Source organism: Homo sapiens, chromosome 13 (assembly GCF_000001405.40).
Source record: "Homo sapiens chromosome 13, GRCh38.p14 Primary Assembly".
NCBI classification, from domain to species: Eukaryota; Metazoa; Chordata; class Mammalia; order Primates; family Hominidae; genus Homo; species Homo sapiens.
The window spans coordinates 26,173,903-26,190,706 of record NC_000013.11 but is presented as its reverse complement, the minus strand read 5'-3'; the positions used below and the strand labels follow the sequence as shown (position 1 = coordinate 26,190,706).

At 45.9% G+C, this 16,804-nt stretch overlaps 1 protein-coding gene across 5 annotated transcripts in view, besides 2 other annotated features; it reads left to right on the top strand.

Annotated features, from left to right (window-relative positions):
* The window catches only part of RNF6 (ring finger protein 6), a 90,971-nt gene that overhangs the window by 32,379 nt on the left and 41,788 nt on the right, over nt 1-16,804 (top strand). The gene's annotated exons all lie outside the window — the stretch shown is intronic.
* Nucleotides 4,293-4,342: an enhancer, noted in NCBI's record as "active region_7491". NCBI's record gives its function as "activates an Ori minimal core promoter by ATAC-STARR-seq in GM12878 lymphoblastoid cells {active_cell/tissue: GM12878}" and the evidence as "EXISTENCE:reporter gene assay evidence [ECO:0000049][PMID:35858748]".
* Nucleotides 4,393-4,562: an enhancer, noted in NCBI's record as "active region_7490". NCBI's record gives its function as "activates an Ori minimal core promoter by ATAC-STARR-seq in GM12878 lymphoblastoid cells {active_cell/tissue: GM12878}" and the evidence as "EXISTENCE:reporter gene assay evidence [ECO:0000049][PMID:35858748]".

Sequence of the window (16,804 nt, the reverse complement as noted above, 5' to 3'; positions counted from 1 at the left end):
AATTGATGAATAGAACATTTGCTGTCTTGAAATATTTTTAAAATTTCATGTGTTGGGTGTGTTATGGGGATACAAGGTGAGGTTTTCTCCTGTGCTTAAGGTAAGAACCCATGTATGTGAATCGTAACTGAACAGAAGAATTTCCTCACATTTAGGGTTGGCCAACATTCTCCTTGGCAGCTTCATGAATCAGCAACCTCCACATCAGTGGAAGTACTGAGTTAGGTAAGCATCTGTCAGAAGTCACATAGGAGGGATTCCAGCTTTGAGAAGTGAGTTGGAAGAGATAACTATGATAGGTAGAAAAACGATGCCCCCACCTCACCCTCTGAAGATGTTTACATCCTAATATCTAGAATCTATAAATATGTTGCCTTATATGGAAAAAGATCTTGTAGATGTGATTAAATTAAAAATCTTAAAATAGGGAGATGATCCTGGATTATCAGGGCGGGCCCAATCTATTCACGTGTCCTCAGAGAACCTTTCCCTGCTGAGTTGAGTCAGAGGAAAATGTGAAGAATGGTCAGAGATGCAACATTGCTGGCTTTGAAGACGGAGGAAGAGGGCCACAAACCACATTCGATCGGTTTCTAAAGGGTAGAAAGGGCAAGGAAAAGATTTACCTCTGCACCCTCCATTAAGGGTCACAGTCCTGCCAACACCTTGATTTTAGCCCCGTGAGACCTGTGTTGGATTTCTAATGCACAGAACTGTAAGAAAATTAATCTGTGTGTTTTAATCCATCAAATTTGTGGAAAATGAATACAGTGATCTTTAAGGCTATTTTCCATATTTTCCAGATCTAAGAATCCAAAATGCTAAACTGTCAGAGTAGTGATTGGATTAGAGTCAGGAAAACAATTCCAACAGTAAGGGTTATTAAACACAGAAGTGGTTACAGCAAAATTGAGCAGAGAGTGTAAATAAATAAACAAACATGGAAGTGGTTTATTAAGCAGACTGTGAAATCTCTATCTCCAAGGAGCTTAAAAATGAGAGTGGATGAATGCTACCTGTCTCAAACTCAGTCTGAAGTTTCATCATCCAATGTGCTGAGGATGAAGCTAAATCACTTTCTACCCCTCTGGATTCTGTAAAAGGAAGCCTGAAGCAAAAACAGGCAGAGTTTCCTTAAGATTGGGGCAAACTGCCTTTAAATGAGAATAGTTTCCCTTCTGAAAGTTTTAGGAGTTTTCCATTTCCTCCTTGGCATGAAATATGAAATTTCGTATGAACACAGATATACATAAACAAAAAATGTAGCCATTGATAGGTTTATTCCAACTCACACTAAGCCTGTTATTTGATTTAGAGTAATTGAGGCAAGGTGGCATATTTTCATCCAACGATCTATTACAATAGGAAGCGTTTTTTTTGAGATGGAGTCTGGCTCTGTCGCCCAGGCTGCAGTGCAGTGGCATGACCTTGGCTCACTGCAACCTCCGCCTCCCGGGTTCAAGCGATTCTCCTGCCTCAGCCTTCCCAGTAGCTGGGACTACAGGTGCCCGCCACCACACCCAGCTAATTTTTGTATTTTAGTAGAGACATAGTTTCACCATGTTGGCCAGGCTGGTCTCAAACTCCTGACCTCAGGTGATCCACCTGCCTCGGCCTCCCAAAGTGCTGGGATTACGGGCGTTAGCCACCATCCCTGGCTACTAGGAATATTTTGATTCTATCTTACATTTAAGAAAGCTCCCTCTTACTTCATGGGAGTGTAAGCCTTTGAGTCTACAATAATCAGTTTGCATACAACCTCTTCAGAAATCTGTTCTGAGCCGGGCGCAGTGGCTCATGCTTGTAATCCCATCACTTTGGGAGGCCAAGGTGGGCAGATCACGAGGTCAAGAGATTGAGACCATCCTGGCCAACATGTTGAAACCTCATCTCTACTAAAAATACAAAAATTAACCGGGCATGGTGGCATGTGCCTGTAGTCCCAGCTACTTGGGAGGCTGAGGCAGGATAAGTGCTTGAACTGAAGAGGCAGAGGTTGCAGTGAGCCGAGATCATGCCACTCCAGCCTGGCAACAGAGTGAGACTTCATCTCAAAAAAAAAAAAAAAAAAAAAAAAAAAAAAGCTCTTTTGACTTGTCCAACTAAAGCCCCCACTAAAAGGGAGAGAACAGCTGCAGCTTTCACCTAAACTCCCCTCAGTCTTCACTTCTGTGTGTCACCTGCTTCTGGCTTATGCAGTGACTGGAATTTTTGGTTATATTTGTTTTGGAAAGTAAAATGTAAATTCAGCCAGACTCTTGATAATTCCAGTAGTTATTCAACAGTGATCAGTGCGTTTTGACTACAGATTCACTGGTCTCAAGAGTCAGTTGCCCTTCCTCTGTGCCACAATTAAGTCCTTGTCTATGTCTGTCACAAGTGGGGTGGAGGATGGGGTAGAAGGGGAGGGATATTGTTATAATTGCCTCCCTTGCCACCATCAGCACTTCTCACCTGTCCTTGTGAACCACCAGTTTACACTTATAGAATCTAGTTTTGCATCAGCAATTGAGGTCACTTCGCCTTGGAGCCACTGCATCAATCTGAAAGTCTCCATGAGCCACAAGACAGTTGTGATGGTCTGGATGGCAGCCTGCAAATGAGCAGTTACACTCTCTAGAATTCCTAGACTATTAGGGCTGAAGGGACCTTGGATATTAACAGGTTCAAGTCCATTTCACCCAGATGATGAAACTGATGCCCAGACACCTACAGAATCTTGTTTTAGATCACTTGTTGACTTCTAGTTCTATTTTTTGACACCTAGTGTCCAGTGTGCTTTACACTTCAGGCCACTGTGGTCTCAAATAGAGCTAGGAACCAGGTGTGGTGGCACACGCCTGTAGTCCCAGCTAGTTGGGAGGCTGAGGCAGGAGGACTGCTTAAGCCCAACAGTTCAAGGCTGCAGTGAGCTAAGATTGCACCACTGCACTCCATCCTGGGCAACAGATAGAGACTGTCTTAAAAAACCCCCAAAATCAAATAGAGCTGGGGCTAAACATTTAATAAACTCCAGCCTCTGGAGTCCAAGAGATCTGCATTTGAATCCTGACTTTGCCACTGATTGGCAATAAGACCTTGGGTACGTTACTTAACCATTAACATACCCACTAAGTCACCCAATAAGCTTCCAGAACTTGGCCTAATCCCTGGGGAGGGGACCGCAGGAAGAACTAGGGTAATTTTTCTTTTATAACCAGTTCACCAGAGGGGGCCAGGGAAGGGTGGTCGTATGTAGCCCAGAGGAGTCAGAAATTCACCTGAAATCCAGAAAAGAGGCATTTTTCTTGCACACCAGAGCTCACGGGCTGACATTCTCACACTGGACATCCCAGTAAGCCTCCTGCTCCGCGATCCCCAAGGCCATCAGCCTTGCCTGACCTCCAAACGTTTCCCCCTTCTTGTGCCGGCTTAATTTTCCAGGGCTTTCCCCCTTTCTATTCGTCTCCTATCAGGTTCCCGGTCCGAAGGCTAGGACGCCCCACGTCGCAGCCAGGAGCAGAGGCGCCCAAGGTGGCGGTACAAGCCGTCTTCAGGCCTGTGGCCCCACTGATGGCAGAAACAGGAAGCGGGGACAGCCCCAGTCCCGGACCTCAGGCCAAGCAAGGCTCTAGAAAGGTCCCTGACGCTTGCCGGGCGCGGTGGCTCATGCCTGTAATCTCAGCACTTTGGGAGGCCGAGGTGGGTGGATCACGAAGTCAGGAGATCGAGACCATCCTGGCTAACACGGTGAAACCCCGTCTCTACTAAAAATACACAAAATTAGCCGGGCGTGGTGGCGGGCGCCTGTAGTCCCAGCTACTCGGGAGGCTGAGGCAGGAGAATGGCGTGAACCTGGGAGGCGGAAATTGCAGTGAGCCGAGATCGCGCCACTACACTCCAGCCTGGGCGACAGAACGAGACTCCGTCTCAAAAAAAGAAAAAAAAAAAAAGAAGAAGAAAGGTCCCTGACGCTTCCCTGCCCTCCCCGGAGCCGGCGCTCTAGCGCCCCCGGGATCGACGGTCAGCACAGCGAAGGAACGCGCTACCTGTGGCCGAAGGTATAGCGCCGCTGCGGGCCCTGTGAGAGCTGAGAAGACGACGGCGGCCGAGGAGGCCCAATTCCGAGGCTCGGCCCCGTCAGGGTCCGCGCTGGCGGTGTGCGCGTGTACGTGCGCTCGTGCACGTGCATGTGTGTGCGCGCGCCCTAACAGACCTGCTCCGAAGCGTCTCCGCTGACTGCCAGTCGGTAGCGCGACTGGCTGCGGGGCCCACGTGCCACGCAGACGCCCCCCGGCGCGTCCCGCTCTTGCTCTGCGGCCCAACGAGCGCGTTCCTGCCGCGGGACAGCCTTGCAGAGAAACGCGGTCTTACACACGCACTGGCCTCCCGGTCTGGGTTTTTAACTGCTCAAAGCTCCACGCGCCCTGGCGTCTCCACACGGCACTCCAGATGTGTCAGATTTCCAGAAATGTTTTGATCGCTTGCTTTCACTTCTCTTTTTAAGATCTGTTTTTGAACTTTTCCTCTGCGTTGTGTGTATCATGACTCTGACACGTTTTAGGGCCGCGAGGCGGGTGATGAAGCTTTGACATGGGCGCCTTGGTGAATGACCTGAATTCTTACTCCCGAGTAAATCGTCTGACTGGCTTCCCTATCGCATTTTAGGGTTAAAACATACATTTTGTGTTTGTTTCATATCTATGTTTATGTAGACTGCAAGTTTCATAAGGGCACGGGGTGGGAGGGGCTATGGCTCTTTTGCCTCTTACTGTATTTTCAGAACCTAGCAGAAGCTAGGACATAGTGTGTGTTCTCTAAATAGATATTGAATGTGAGGGAGGAAGGAACTTTCCAGAAGTGTGACCTTTGGTTTTGGAAAGGCACAAGGTTCGTAGTTAGGCGTAGAGAACACAAGTTTAGAATCATGGCCTCTACACTTCTGTTGACAATGCATTACTTTAAGTAACAACTTTTTTTTGAGACAGGGTTTCGCTCGTTTTGCCCAGGCTGGAGTGCAGTGGCACGATCTCGGCTCACTGCAACCTCCGCCTCCCGGGTTCAAGCGATTCTCCTGCCTCAGCCTCCCAAGTAGCTGTGATAACAGGCGCCTGCCACCACGCCAGGCTAATTTTTTGTATTTTTAGTAGAGACGGGGTTTCACCATGTTGGCCAGGATAGTCTCGATCTCTTGACCTCGTGATCCGCCCACCTCGGCCTCCCAAAGTGCTGGGATTACAGGCGTGAGCCACTGTGCCCAGCCAAGTAACAACTTTTTTTAAAAAAAATGCACTTCAAATGTATATGTATATGTATTTATTTATAAGTTATAAAAATGTAATGCATGCTCATATATATATTTATGTATTATTACAAAGAGCACACCAAATAGAAATTTTAAAAAGCTAAAATAAAAATAATACCTTGGTCGGGGATGATGGCTCATGCCTGTAACTCCAGCACTTTTGGAGGCCGAGGCGGTCAGATAGCTTGAGCCCATTAGTTCGAGACCAGCGTGGGCAGCATAGTGAGATCCCATCTGTACAAAAAATAATTTGAAAAAATTAGCCGGGCATGGTGGTGTGCGCCTGTTGTCCCAGCTGCTTGGGAGGCTGAGGTGGGAGAATGGCTTGATCCTGGGAAGTTGAGGCTGCAATGAACCGTGTTTGTGCCACTTCACTACAGCTTGGGGTGGCTGAGTGAAATCCTGTCTTAATAGTCAATCAATCAATCAATCAATAAAATGATAACAATACCTACAAGTTCTAAAATAATTTCCTGCAGCGCACTTTGGAGCTCACTAGGTAGACAGTTTGTAGGGAGAGGGCTGCCCTCTACTGGTGGAGGGCAGCTAAGGACATTTGCTTTGGATCGCCTGCCTTCTGCAGGAGTCCACAGATTTATCCTTTGTGGCCTGCACAGTGTGTATGCTTAGCATTCAATCTACGTTATTTTCACTCATAGAAAATGTAAGGTGAGGCATTGTTTTAAGCCAGAACAGCTTTAAAAGGCAGAGATACTCGTATTGTGCAGTCATTATGGACCAGGAAACGTTGAAACATCTGCGAGTAGAAGTGACTCAAAACTGAATGTTCGTCTCTGTAACATCATGGCCAATACTCAATAAAGGGGAAACAATTAGATAATCTGTTCTCATATGTCAAGTCTTACAAATCTTTTTACTTTGAAGACAACTAAATTATACTGTTGTAGTTTTGATAGCAGAATATGCCCTGCTGATTTTTAAGCCTTAGAGACTTCTAGAGCAAAAAGCATAAAACAGATTTTTATACAACAACATGTCTTTTTCACTTGAGAGTTCAGTGTTCGAAGACTTTTAAAGTGCCTTTATGCAGAGGCTAAACTGAGGGAGACTGATTAGAATATAATTTGAGGCGGCCGGGCGCGGTGGCTCACGCCCGTAATCCCAGCACTTTGGGAGGCCGAGACGGGCGAATCACGAGGTCAGGAGATCGAGACCATCCTGGCTAACAGGGTGGAACCCCGTCTCTGCTAAAAATACAAAACATTAGCCTGGCGTGGTGGGTGGCGGGCACCTGTAGCCCCAGCTACTCGGGAGGCTGAGGCAGGAGAATGGCGTGAACCTAAGGAGACGGAGCTTGCAGTGAGCCGAGATCGTGTCACTGCACTCCAGCCTGAGCAACAGAGCGAGACTCTGTCTCAAAAAAAAAAAAAAAAAAAAAAAAAATATATATATATATATATATATATATATTTTATTTATCTGCTGGTGGAGGGCAGCTCCACCAGTATGTATATATATGAATAATTATAAAAAAATAAATATTGTATATATTACATATATAAATAAGTATAAAAAAACCTATATTTTATATATATAAAAATATATAAATAATTCGAGGAATATATTGTAGATTTTTTATGAATTTTCAAGCAAAGTAATCTATACTTTCTGTGAGAATATGAGTGAAAAGTATAGCACAGAATGCAGTTAACCATGAAATTGTTTGCTAAGCTGCGAATTGTATATATAAATAATTCAGTTGCTATTCTGTATTAGTCCAAAACTATTTTTTACTGCATGGCTAACATTCCATTTTACCTTCTCAGTTTCACTTCTGCAAAAAGTAATATGTTTCAGAATCTGTTTAAGCTGCTCCTACCTTCAAGTTGCTCACAATCTACTATGGATATACGCAGGGAGGCAAATGATCATAAGTGAATTAGAGTCCTGATCCCCATCCTATCTCACAAATAAAACACCTACCAGCAAATATACACAGATGCCCAAAGTGTCTAGGCAGAGTGGGGAAAGAAAGGAAGGAAGAAAAAGTAGAATTGCTTTACATGTCTCATTGATTTTGAGCTCCTCACATTGGCGCTTCTAAATTGTGAGGCTTCCTTCACAATTTATTGTATTTCTCTGTAATGTCATGGTCAATACTCTATAAAGGGAAAACAATTAGTGAATCTGTTCTCGTGTGTCAAGTTTTACAAGTTTTTCCCATTTGAAAGCAAACTGAATGATACTATTGTAGTTTTGCTGATTTTTAAGCCTCAAATACTTTTAGAGCAAAAGCATATAACAGATTTCTATAGAACAGCATGTCTTTTTGACTTGAATAGTTCAGTGTTCAAACACATTTTAAAGTGCCTTTCAGCAGAGGCTAAACTGGGGGAAAGGCTGTACTTGGCTCAAAAACAAATGTCAGGAAAGAAAATTATGCAGCAGCATAAAATCCAGCCACAGTATCCAAAGGGTACAAATCTCCCAGAATTCTTACCTCAAAGCCCGCATGCTAACTCAATGTTCCCAGCCATTTGGCTACTCAAGGTCACCAAAGAAATTCTTTTTTCAAATCTGTTAATAGGTTCTGTGGGATACCAAGTTGTGTATGGTAATCAGAATTTCTGAAAATAACAGATTTTCTTTTTTTTCTTGAGACAGGGTCTCACTCTGTTACCCAAATTGGCCTGCAGTGGCATGATCATGGCTCATTGTGGCCTTGATCTCCCAGGCTCAAGCAATCCTCCTACCTTAGCCTCCTGAGTAGCTGGGACTACAGGTGTGTGCCACCATGCCCAGCTAATTTTTTGTAGCAATGTGGTTTCTCTCTGTTGCTCAGGCTGGTCTTGAACTCCTGGGCTGAAGCAATCGGCCCACCTCTGTCTCCCAAAGTGCTGGGATTACAGGCATAAGCCCGCATGCCCAGCCACAGATTCTTTGTTAATTACAAATGGAAAAATACCATTTACAATGAAGAAATTTGGAAAACACTATTTTAATTAGATGATCAATTTATCATCAATAAAATGACACACTGATATTTTATAACCCCTGATGTGATTCATTGAGGAGGGCATTCTGTCCTATGTAACATTTTTGCCAAATTTAATTTGAGGAAGCAAAGAGACAAACCTAAATAAGGGACATTCTTTAAATCGATGGGTCTGAACTCTTCAAAAATGTCTAGAAATAAGAATAAAAATAGACATGAGAATGATCGTGAAACACCACATTTCAATCCATGCTATTTGCTTTATGTAATAATGTTTTATTGTAAGTGTGATAATTTGTTAATCATTAAAGTATTTTGTGTGTCCTCTCTCCACACCTGCTTAAAGCATTTTTGAAAACTTCTGGAGATACGTGTTTTCAATTAAATTATCAGAAGAGTTTTATAAAATAAGCCTTAAAAAAGGTCAATGTCATGAAGATTTTTTTAGAAATATGGAGGAACTATTTGTTCCAGATTAAAGAAGGCTAGCTGTTTGATCCTTGATTAGATCCTGGGTCAAGAAATAAAAACAACTCAAAAGATGTGATTGAGAATTGAAGAGAAATGACTTCAGCAAGATGGTGGATGAGGAGGCACCAGCTCTTGTCCTGCAAAAACGGCAATTTATCTACCAAGGAAAATAGTTCTGAGAGTGCTCCAGAGTATAATTAAGAACCTGTAGCATCCCACTGGAGCACAAAAACTGAAGATGGTTGCATAGAAAAGCATTGGAGCATTTTATCTGCATCACTCTAACCACTGCTTGATGCCAAGAGGAATCCCCTTGGTCTTGACCTCCCCTCCTTCTGTGGGCAGGGGTCCAAGATACAGAGACATACCTACCAATGGTATAGCTTGGTTTACTGACAGCTCTGAAACTGAATGCAGGCAGAGTCCACTGGGTTGACCATCTTTTGACTGAGACTGGACGTGGACATTTCCACCCAATGGGTTACACTACCTGCAGTGGTTATGGCTGTGCAGGCCACCCCTGACATCACCTCTTGCTACATTTTCACGGTTTCACAGGCTGTTGCCAACAGCCTAGGCATTTGGTCAGGAGAATGCCAACTGAGTGACTAGATTCTTCAAGGACAAGACAGACGCCTGATCGGCCTCTGCCTGCCTATGGCATCCCAATCTTGGTGTTCCCAACCATTCTTTTTCCTTTCTTCCTTTAGAGTGCACATCCTGGAGGTGCTCTGCAGTTCAGGCCATTGTAGTACCCCAGGCAGAGCCCCCGACTCTAATCTGGAAGCCATGCTTTCCCTGGTGCTGCTTTTCCTGGGTGCACAGGGGCGGGGAATGGAACCAAGGAGTACCTGGATCTAGTCCGGTGCCTTGTCAAGTACAGGATGTGACCCCCCTTCCTAGACTGGAAGGCTGATGGAGGAAGGTCTAGGTTAAGAAGCAGGGCAGCAGGAGCTGCAGAGGTAGTAACCTCAGGACTGGACAAACAGACTGGGTTACAATACCTGGACAGCCAGCACCCCAAGTGATAGACAAGAACATCTCCGACTACAGGAAGTGCAGGAAGCAGGCAAGGGTTGGGGAAACTAGCCTCTCCCCTTCGGGTTCCTTTAGAATACCCAGTGGGCCCTGGACTGACAACACATTGGTGAATATTGGCACAGCAGTGGCAGCAGGTGGTGACTGGACGCTTTGCAGGATCTGCCACCCAGATATTTGGAGCATTTCCTCCCAAATGCCAATAGTCCATGTGTGGCCTATTGCCAATCTGATGGACGTCCCAATAGCCATCAATGGTTCTAATCAGGGAAAGACACCTTAAATGTGGGTTGTCTGGAATACGGACATAAAGTCAGAGACAGACTTTAAACATCAGCAATGGTATGGCAAGGTCCACAGATTCTGCAAATTTATCCTGCTACTTAACTCATGGCTAAACCAGTCACAGGCTGTGTACAATGGGATCAGAGACTTTTATATCAACTGCTCTCTGACCAGAGTGACATGTGGTTCCCTGGGTTATATGTTCCTTTGAGGGGTCTCCTGGGCTGCAGAGTACCTGTCACCCTCAAATGGGGCCTGCTGTTTTGGAATTTTGGGTTTTCAACTGTTTGTGAAAGGTGACCCTCTAAACTGGAAAGGCCCCACACTCTTGACATGTTGCAGGGTTGCTTGAGACACCCTAGTAGGAAGACAAACAGACAGCTGGTTCCACTCTGCTGACCATGTCCTCATACCCAGCATAGGTGTACATGCTCTGGAAAAAAGAATAGTACATGACTGTCTTTGATTGTGGTAGAGATAGCTCACACTACAGCTGGAGCTATTTGGGGCCAACAGGGTCACTGGGCTCACTAGCCAAGATGGCGATGGATAACTGGATATAGCCCTTGATTATCTGGGGGTAGAACAGGGTGTCATTTGGGTTACTGCCAATGGCTCCTGCTGTACCTGGATAAACACCTCAGGCTTATAGGGACACAAGCGGAAGAGGCCCAGAAGCAGGGTCGCTGGCTGCAGACAGCAGAGCCACCTGAGGATCCTTCTTTGATTCTTTAGCAACTTCTTGCCTTGACTGCTGGGATCCTGGACTAGACTCTGCTTCAGGCCAGCCTGGATGTCCTGCTTGTGGTAGTCGTCCTCCTGGGCCTAGTGAAGTGTATTCTGGTGAAAGTTCAATGATGTTGCCCTGAGATCGTGTCAGTCAACGTGCTACATCTATACATCTATCTTAAGAGACAAACCTCTGCCTCTGGATCCAAGGAGGTCGCTGGGTGTGTGAGGTGGACTGGCCTTGCTAAGGGGGTACCTGGTTTGGGGGAATGCATTGCAGGAGGACAGGACCCTGAATGGTCTTGGCAGACATAGCACTTCTCCTTCCCACTTACAGTTCTCATAAGAATAGAATGTGCTGAGAATGCAGAGCCGTGAGATAAGAAGGAACTGTTCAGAATAGCCTGGGCTTTGTCCTTGTCCCTCCCAGAACAGGAGGTCCTGCAATGCTTGTACTCAGTGATCCCAAATGCCCCTGGGATACAGAACCCAGAGTGGAGTGCTTTTGGGGTCTCTCAGCTACAGTGTGAAGTGAGGTACAGGCAGATGAGACTCCATTCACTCCATGCAGCTCTCCTGATCCTTGGGAGACTGGCTTGCCATGGATTCTAGGCTTCTGTTGATTCTTGCTGTCTATCTGTGGGTAATACATTTTCTTTGCCTGACTTGTTATGCGAGTGTCTGTCTCGTCGACTAGATCTAAGAATGCAAATTGTACAGGTATGACTGCTATGGCAGCTAGATCTGCTCTGAGCCCCTGCCAGAGTCAAGAACCCTTACAGAACTCTGGCAGCTGGGTTTGTGCAAAACCTCCTGCCAGACTAGGAACTTTAGCAGAAACTGGCAAGGTGTTTAGAGTCCTCCTCTGGGATTGATAACTGGTGCACAGTGTTCTTCTCCTAGGAATTAACACCAGTGCACAGCATTTCTGCTTAACAATATATACAATGAAATATTATTTAGTCTTAACAAAGAAGGTAAGCTTGTCCTTTGCGACAACATGGATGAATCTGGAGGACATTATACTAAGTGAAATAAGTCAGACACAGAAAAACAAACACTGCATGATCTCACTTATATGTGGGATCTAAAATAGTCAAAACTCATAGAAGCAGACAGTAGAATGCTGGCTGCCAGGTGCTCAGGGGAGGGGAAAATGGGGAGATATTGGTCAAGGGGTCCAAGTTTTGGTTATGCAAATGAATAAATTCTGGAGATCTAATATACATCTGATGACTGTAGTTAACAATACAATATTATATAGTTGAAATCTGCTGAGGATAGATCTTAAGCTTTCTCACCACACACACACACACACACACACACACACACACACACACACACACACACACGGACCAGGCAGACACCTGGTCCGCCAAGGGGGAAGAAAAGAAAATGGTCTGAATGTTTTTGGGTGCCCTCCCCCACCCCCGCCCACATTCACATGTTGAAATGCTAATCCCCCAGATGATGGTATTAGGACGTGGGGCCTTTGGGAGGTGTTTAGGTCATGGGGATAGAGCCCTCATGAATGGGACTAATGCCCTCATAAAAGAGGCCCCAGAGAGACCCCTCTCCCGTTTCACCACATGAGGACACAGTGAGAAGGCACCATCTCTGAACAAGAAAGTAAGCCCTCCCAAGACACTGACTGCTGGGATCTTGATGGGCTTCTTAGCCTTCAGAACTGTGAGAAACAAATTTCTGTTGCATATTAGCTACTCAATTAAGGGATTTTATTTAATTTTATTTTTTGAGGTGGAGTCTCTCTCTGTTGCCCAGGCTGGAGTGCAGTGGTGTGATCTTGTCTCACTGCAACCTCTGCCTCCCAGGTTCAAGCGATTCTCCCACCTCAGCCTCCTGAGTAGCTGGGATTACAGGTGCCTGCCACCATGCCTGGCTAAATTTTTTTGTATTTTTAGTAGAGATGGGGTTTCACCATGTTGGCCAGGCTGGTCTCAAACTCCTGACCTCAGGTGGTTTGCCCACCTTGGCCTCCCAAAGTGCTGGGATTACAGACATGAGCCACTGCACCCAGTTGACAGTAGTGTTTTTAAGCAGAGTGACACATCATATTTGTGTTTTAGAAAGAAATAACATGGTGGAGTAGGGCATAGCTAGAGCTGGGAGGCTCTTGCACCAATGCAGCTGAGAAATGCAAGCTAGTGGCTTGCCGTAGCCTTTTGGCAGAGATGGTAGATAGGAAAATATTTAGGAGGAAATCGTTTATCAATTGGATGTGGAGGGTAAGCTGAAGGGTGGTACTTAGGTTTCTGGCTAGAACAAGAGGATAGGTTGTGAAGCCTTTTCTTGAGATACAGGAAATGTAAGGTGGAAGAGGTTTGGGTGAGTTGGGTTTTGGGCATATACTGTCAGGGCCACTCTCATGGTTATGGTTATCACCTGTGTGTTGAATTATAGATAGGCTCTCCCACTGAGTGCTTAACATTAGAAGAGAAAGAAACCAAGACAGAACTCTGACTGATGGACAGTGACATGTTAGAGAAGGGCAGAGGAAGAGGATGCTGCCAGGAGGTAACGAGAGAGTCTATGAAGAATCCACTAGATCTGTTGACAACCAGGATATTGGTGACCTTGGCAAAGTGGTCTCTATGGAGTTGTGGCAGCCAGTTTCTACTGAGTTGAGGAGTGAATGGGAGTCAATGAAGTAGAGTCGCTGGTATAGACACTGCTTCCAGGAGGTTTGTCTTTCTCTCACTTTCCTAGGGCTTCCACAAACTGCTGGCTTAAACCATCATAGATGTGTTCTCTCACAGGTCTGAAACTAGAAGTTCAAGATTAAGGTGTCAGAGGTTCATTCTCCCTCTGAGACTCTGGACAGAAACCTACCTTGCCTTTTCCTAGCTCTGGTGGTCCCCGCCGATCTTTCCTTCTTGGCTTGTAGACCCATCAGTCTAATATCTGTTGCTGTCATCATTTGGCATTCTCCACTTTGTGTCTCTGTCTTCACCTGGCATATTCTTTTGTTTGTATGTTAGTTTGTTTTTTTGAGACCGAGTCTCACTCTGTCTCCCAGGCTGGAGTGCAATCGCGCCACCTCGGCTCACTGCAACCACTGCCTCCTGGGTTCAAGTGATTCTCCTGCCTCAGCCTCCTGAGTAGCTGGGATTACAGGCATGTGCCATCACACTTGGCTAATTTTTGTATTTTTAGTAGATTCACAGGTTTCACCATCCTGCTCAGGCTGGTCTTGAACTCCTGACCTCAGGTGTTCCACCTGCCTCGGCCTCCCAAAGTGCTGGGATGACAGGCGTGAGCCACTGTGCCCAGCCTGCATTTTCCTCTTCTTTTAAGGACACCATTCTTATTAGATTAGGGCCAACCCTAAACATCTCGACTTGAATACATTGGCAGAGACCCTATTTTCAAATAAAGTCACATTCACAGGTACTAGGGGTCAGGATGTCAACATATCTTTTTGAAGGACACAATTCAATCCCCCAAAAAGTCTTTAAAGACGAGACTGGGAGCTGGGTGGAGTGGCTCATGCCTGTAATCCAATGACTTTGGAAGGTCGAGGTGGGAGGATCGCTTGAGCTCAGGAGTTCAAGGATACAGTGAGCTATGATTGTGCCATTGCACTCCAGCCTGGGTGACAGAGCAAGACCCTGTCTCTCTCTCTAAAAAAAAGAGAAGAGACTGGGAAGAGTATGCTTAAAGCAAAAGGAAAAGTACAGTTAGAGAAGACTGAAGACAAATTCCCTGACATAACAATGGCCAGTTTTGACTAGGAAGGGCGAATTTCAGTTCAGAGAGTTTACCAGCCAACCCCTCTGTCCTCCTTCATTCCTCTTCATTAGTTCACATCAGGCCTCACGCCTTAGACAACCACCATGGCCTATTTAGCAGATTTAACTCCTCTTAGAGCTTTCTACAAGATTTACTTGTAAAGAGTTGATGTGGACAACTCTGTGTCCTGAGGTAGCACCAGAGCAAGTTCACTCCTGGCTTTCCCTGGAATGTGAGAGTGCTGTGTTCCAATCTCCTCCACCCCCTGCTTGTTTTTTTGGTCAAACATACTGATACTACATTTTAAGAATTATGAATTCCAAATAAATGTGAAAGAATCATAAAAAAATCAGGCATTTCTGTTGTTTTCCATGTGCATTTTCAAATCGGAAATTGTCTTGCATCTTGCTATGACTTGGAAGTGCACACTTGCGTAGGAGGAGGTCACTAGGAAGCTGAGGGGAAGGTAGATTATTTCCTGTTACTCTCTCACTCCCTCTTGGATCCCTGTCCTGGTTTTCCCCCACTCCCAGGTTTTCATCACTTTCAGGCAGCTCTTGGCCTGCACCACGGTGCCTCTGCAATCAATTGCTTAGTGTTTGGGGAACTGCGATGGTAACCAGGACGCCAAAGACAGGTAGGACAAGCTTTACCTTAGGAAGTGCAATCAGGTGAGCACTAAGGCTATCCTGCAGGTACCCAGTAGGTCATCTGAGAGGAGACAAGGAGATGGTGAGTGTGCCTGGGGTCATGGGGGCTGGAGAGGAAAGTTTCTTACTCTTCGCGTCAGGTGTCCTCTCAAAAATCACCTGAGGCTGGGTGCAGTGGCTCACGCCTGTAATCCCAGCACTTTGGGGGCCCGAGGCAGGCAGATCACATGAGGCCAGGAGTTTGAGACCAGCCTGGCCAACATGGCCAAACCCCGTCTCTACTAAATCTACAAAAATTAGCCAGGCATGGTGGTGTGCACCTGTAGTCCCAGCTACTCGGGGGGCTGAGGCAAGAGAATTGCTTGAACCTGGGAGGTGGAGGTTGCAGTGAGCCGAGATCACGCCATTGCACTCCAGCCTGGGTGACAGAGCGAGACTCTGTCTCAAGAAAATAAAAAGGCACCGGACGCCAATGGGGAGCATCTTGGTTAATAGTGAACTCCTCAACTGCTGAGGCATCAAGAGGCACCTGATTGTGTCCCCTTCCAAATTCATACAGTGAACCACTAACCCCCAGTGACTCTGGAAATAGGGCCTTTAAAGAGGTGATTAAGTTCAACCGAGGCCGTTAGAGTGGGCCCCAATCCACTCTGACTGGTGAGTGAGTGAGTGTAGGGACGGCAAGCCTGGCAGCCTGTCCCAGAAGCACGGTGTGGAGGGGAGGGACAGCATGGAGCCCTCAACTGCCAGGATTTTACAAGGCGGGCTGGGGAGGTCCTCTCATTCCAGGGGCTGCAATCTGGGATTGGGACCGTTTGTGCCGAGTGGCAACATTCAGGATATTAGCCTTAAAAGACAGTTTTCTAGTCAAAAGTGGTCTCCCCAGCCTAAGGGGGTGAGTAACTTTGTTTCAATATTTTGGGGTTTGTTTTCTTTTTTTTGAGTCTCCGCCTCCCGGATTCAAGTGATTCTCCTGCCTCAGCCTCTGGGCCTCTGAGTAGCTGGGATTACAGGCACCTGCCACCACGCTCAGCTAATTTTTTTTTTGTATTTTTAGTAGAGATGGGGTTGCACCATGTTGGCCAGGCTGGTCTCGAACTCCTGACCTCAAGTGATCCACCTGCTTTGGCCTCCCAAAGTGCTGGGATTACAGGTGTGAGCCACCGTGCCCAGCCTATTTCAGTTTGCTGTCCCTTTACGTATTGCAGCTGCCCCACTACAGTTACAATAACCGAACTCCAGCATATTCTAAAAGTCCTGGCTTGCTTAGCCAGTCCTCCTCTTTCATTCCAGACTCTTGCCCTCGAAATCCTGTGAGACAGGCACCGAGAGGATGAAATCAGTGGCCTGAGTCCTAAATGGCCAGAGAAACAATAAATTGAAATAGGAAGTTCATATGTAATTTACCTGCTGCTTAAAAGTGTTCTAGCAGTTGGGACTGTCACTGGTGGATGGCAGTGAGCCTATGTGATGTGTGTAAGTGTGTACATGGAATTCAACAAACACTCATATTCTCACCATTAAGAATAAACAACTTTTAACATTTTGTTATATTTGCTTTCAGAATTTTTTCTTTGCTTTTTTTTTTTTTTTTGAGACGGAGTCTCGCTCTGTTGCCAGGCTGGAGTACAGTGGCGCCAT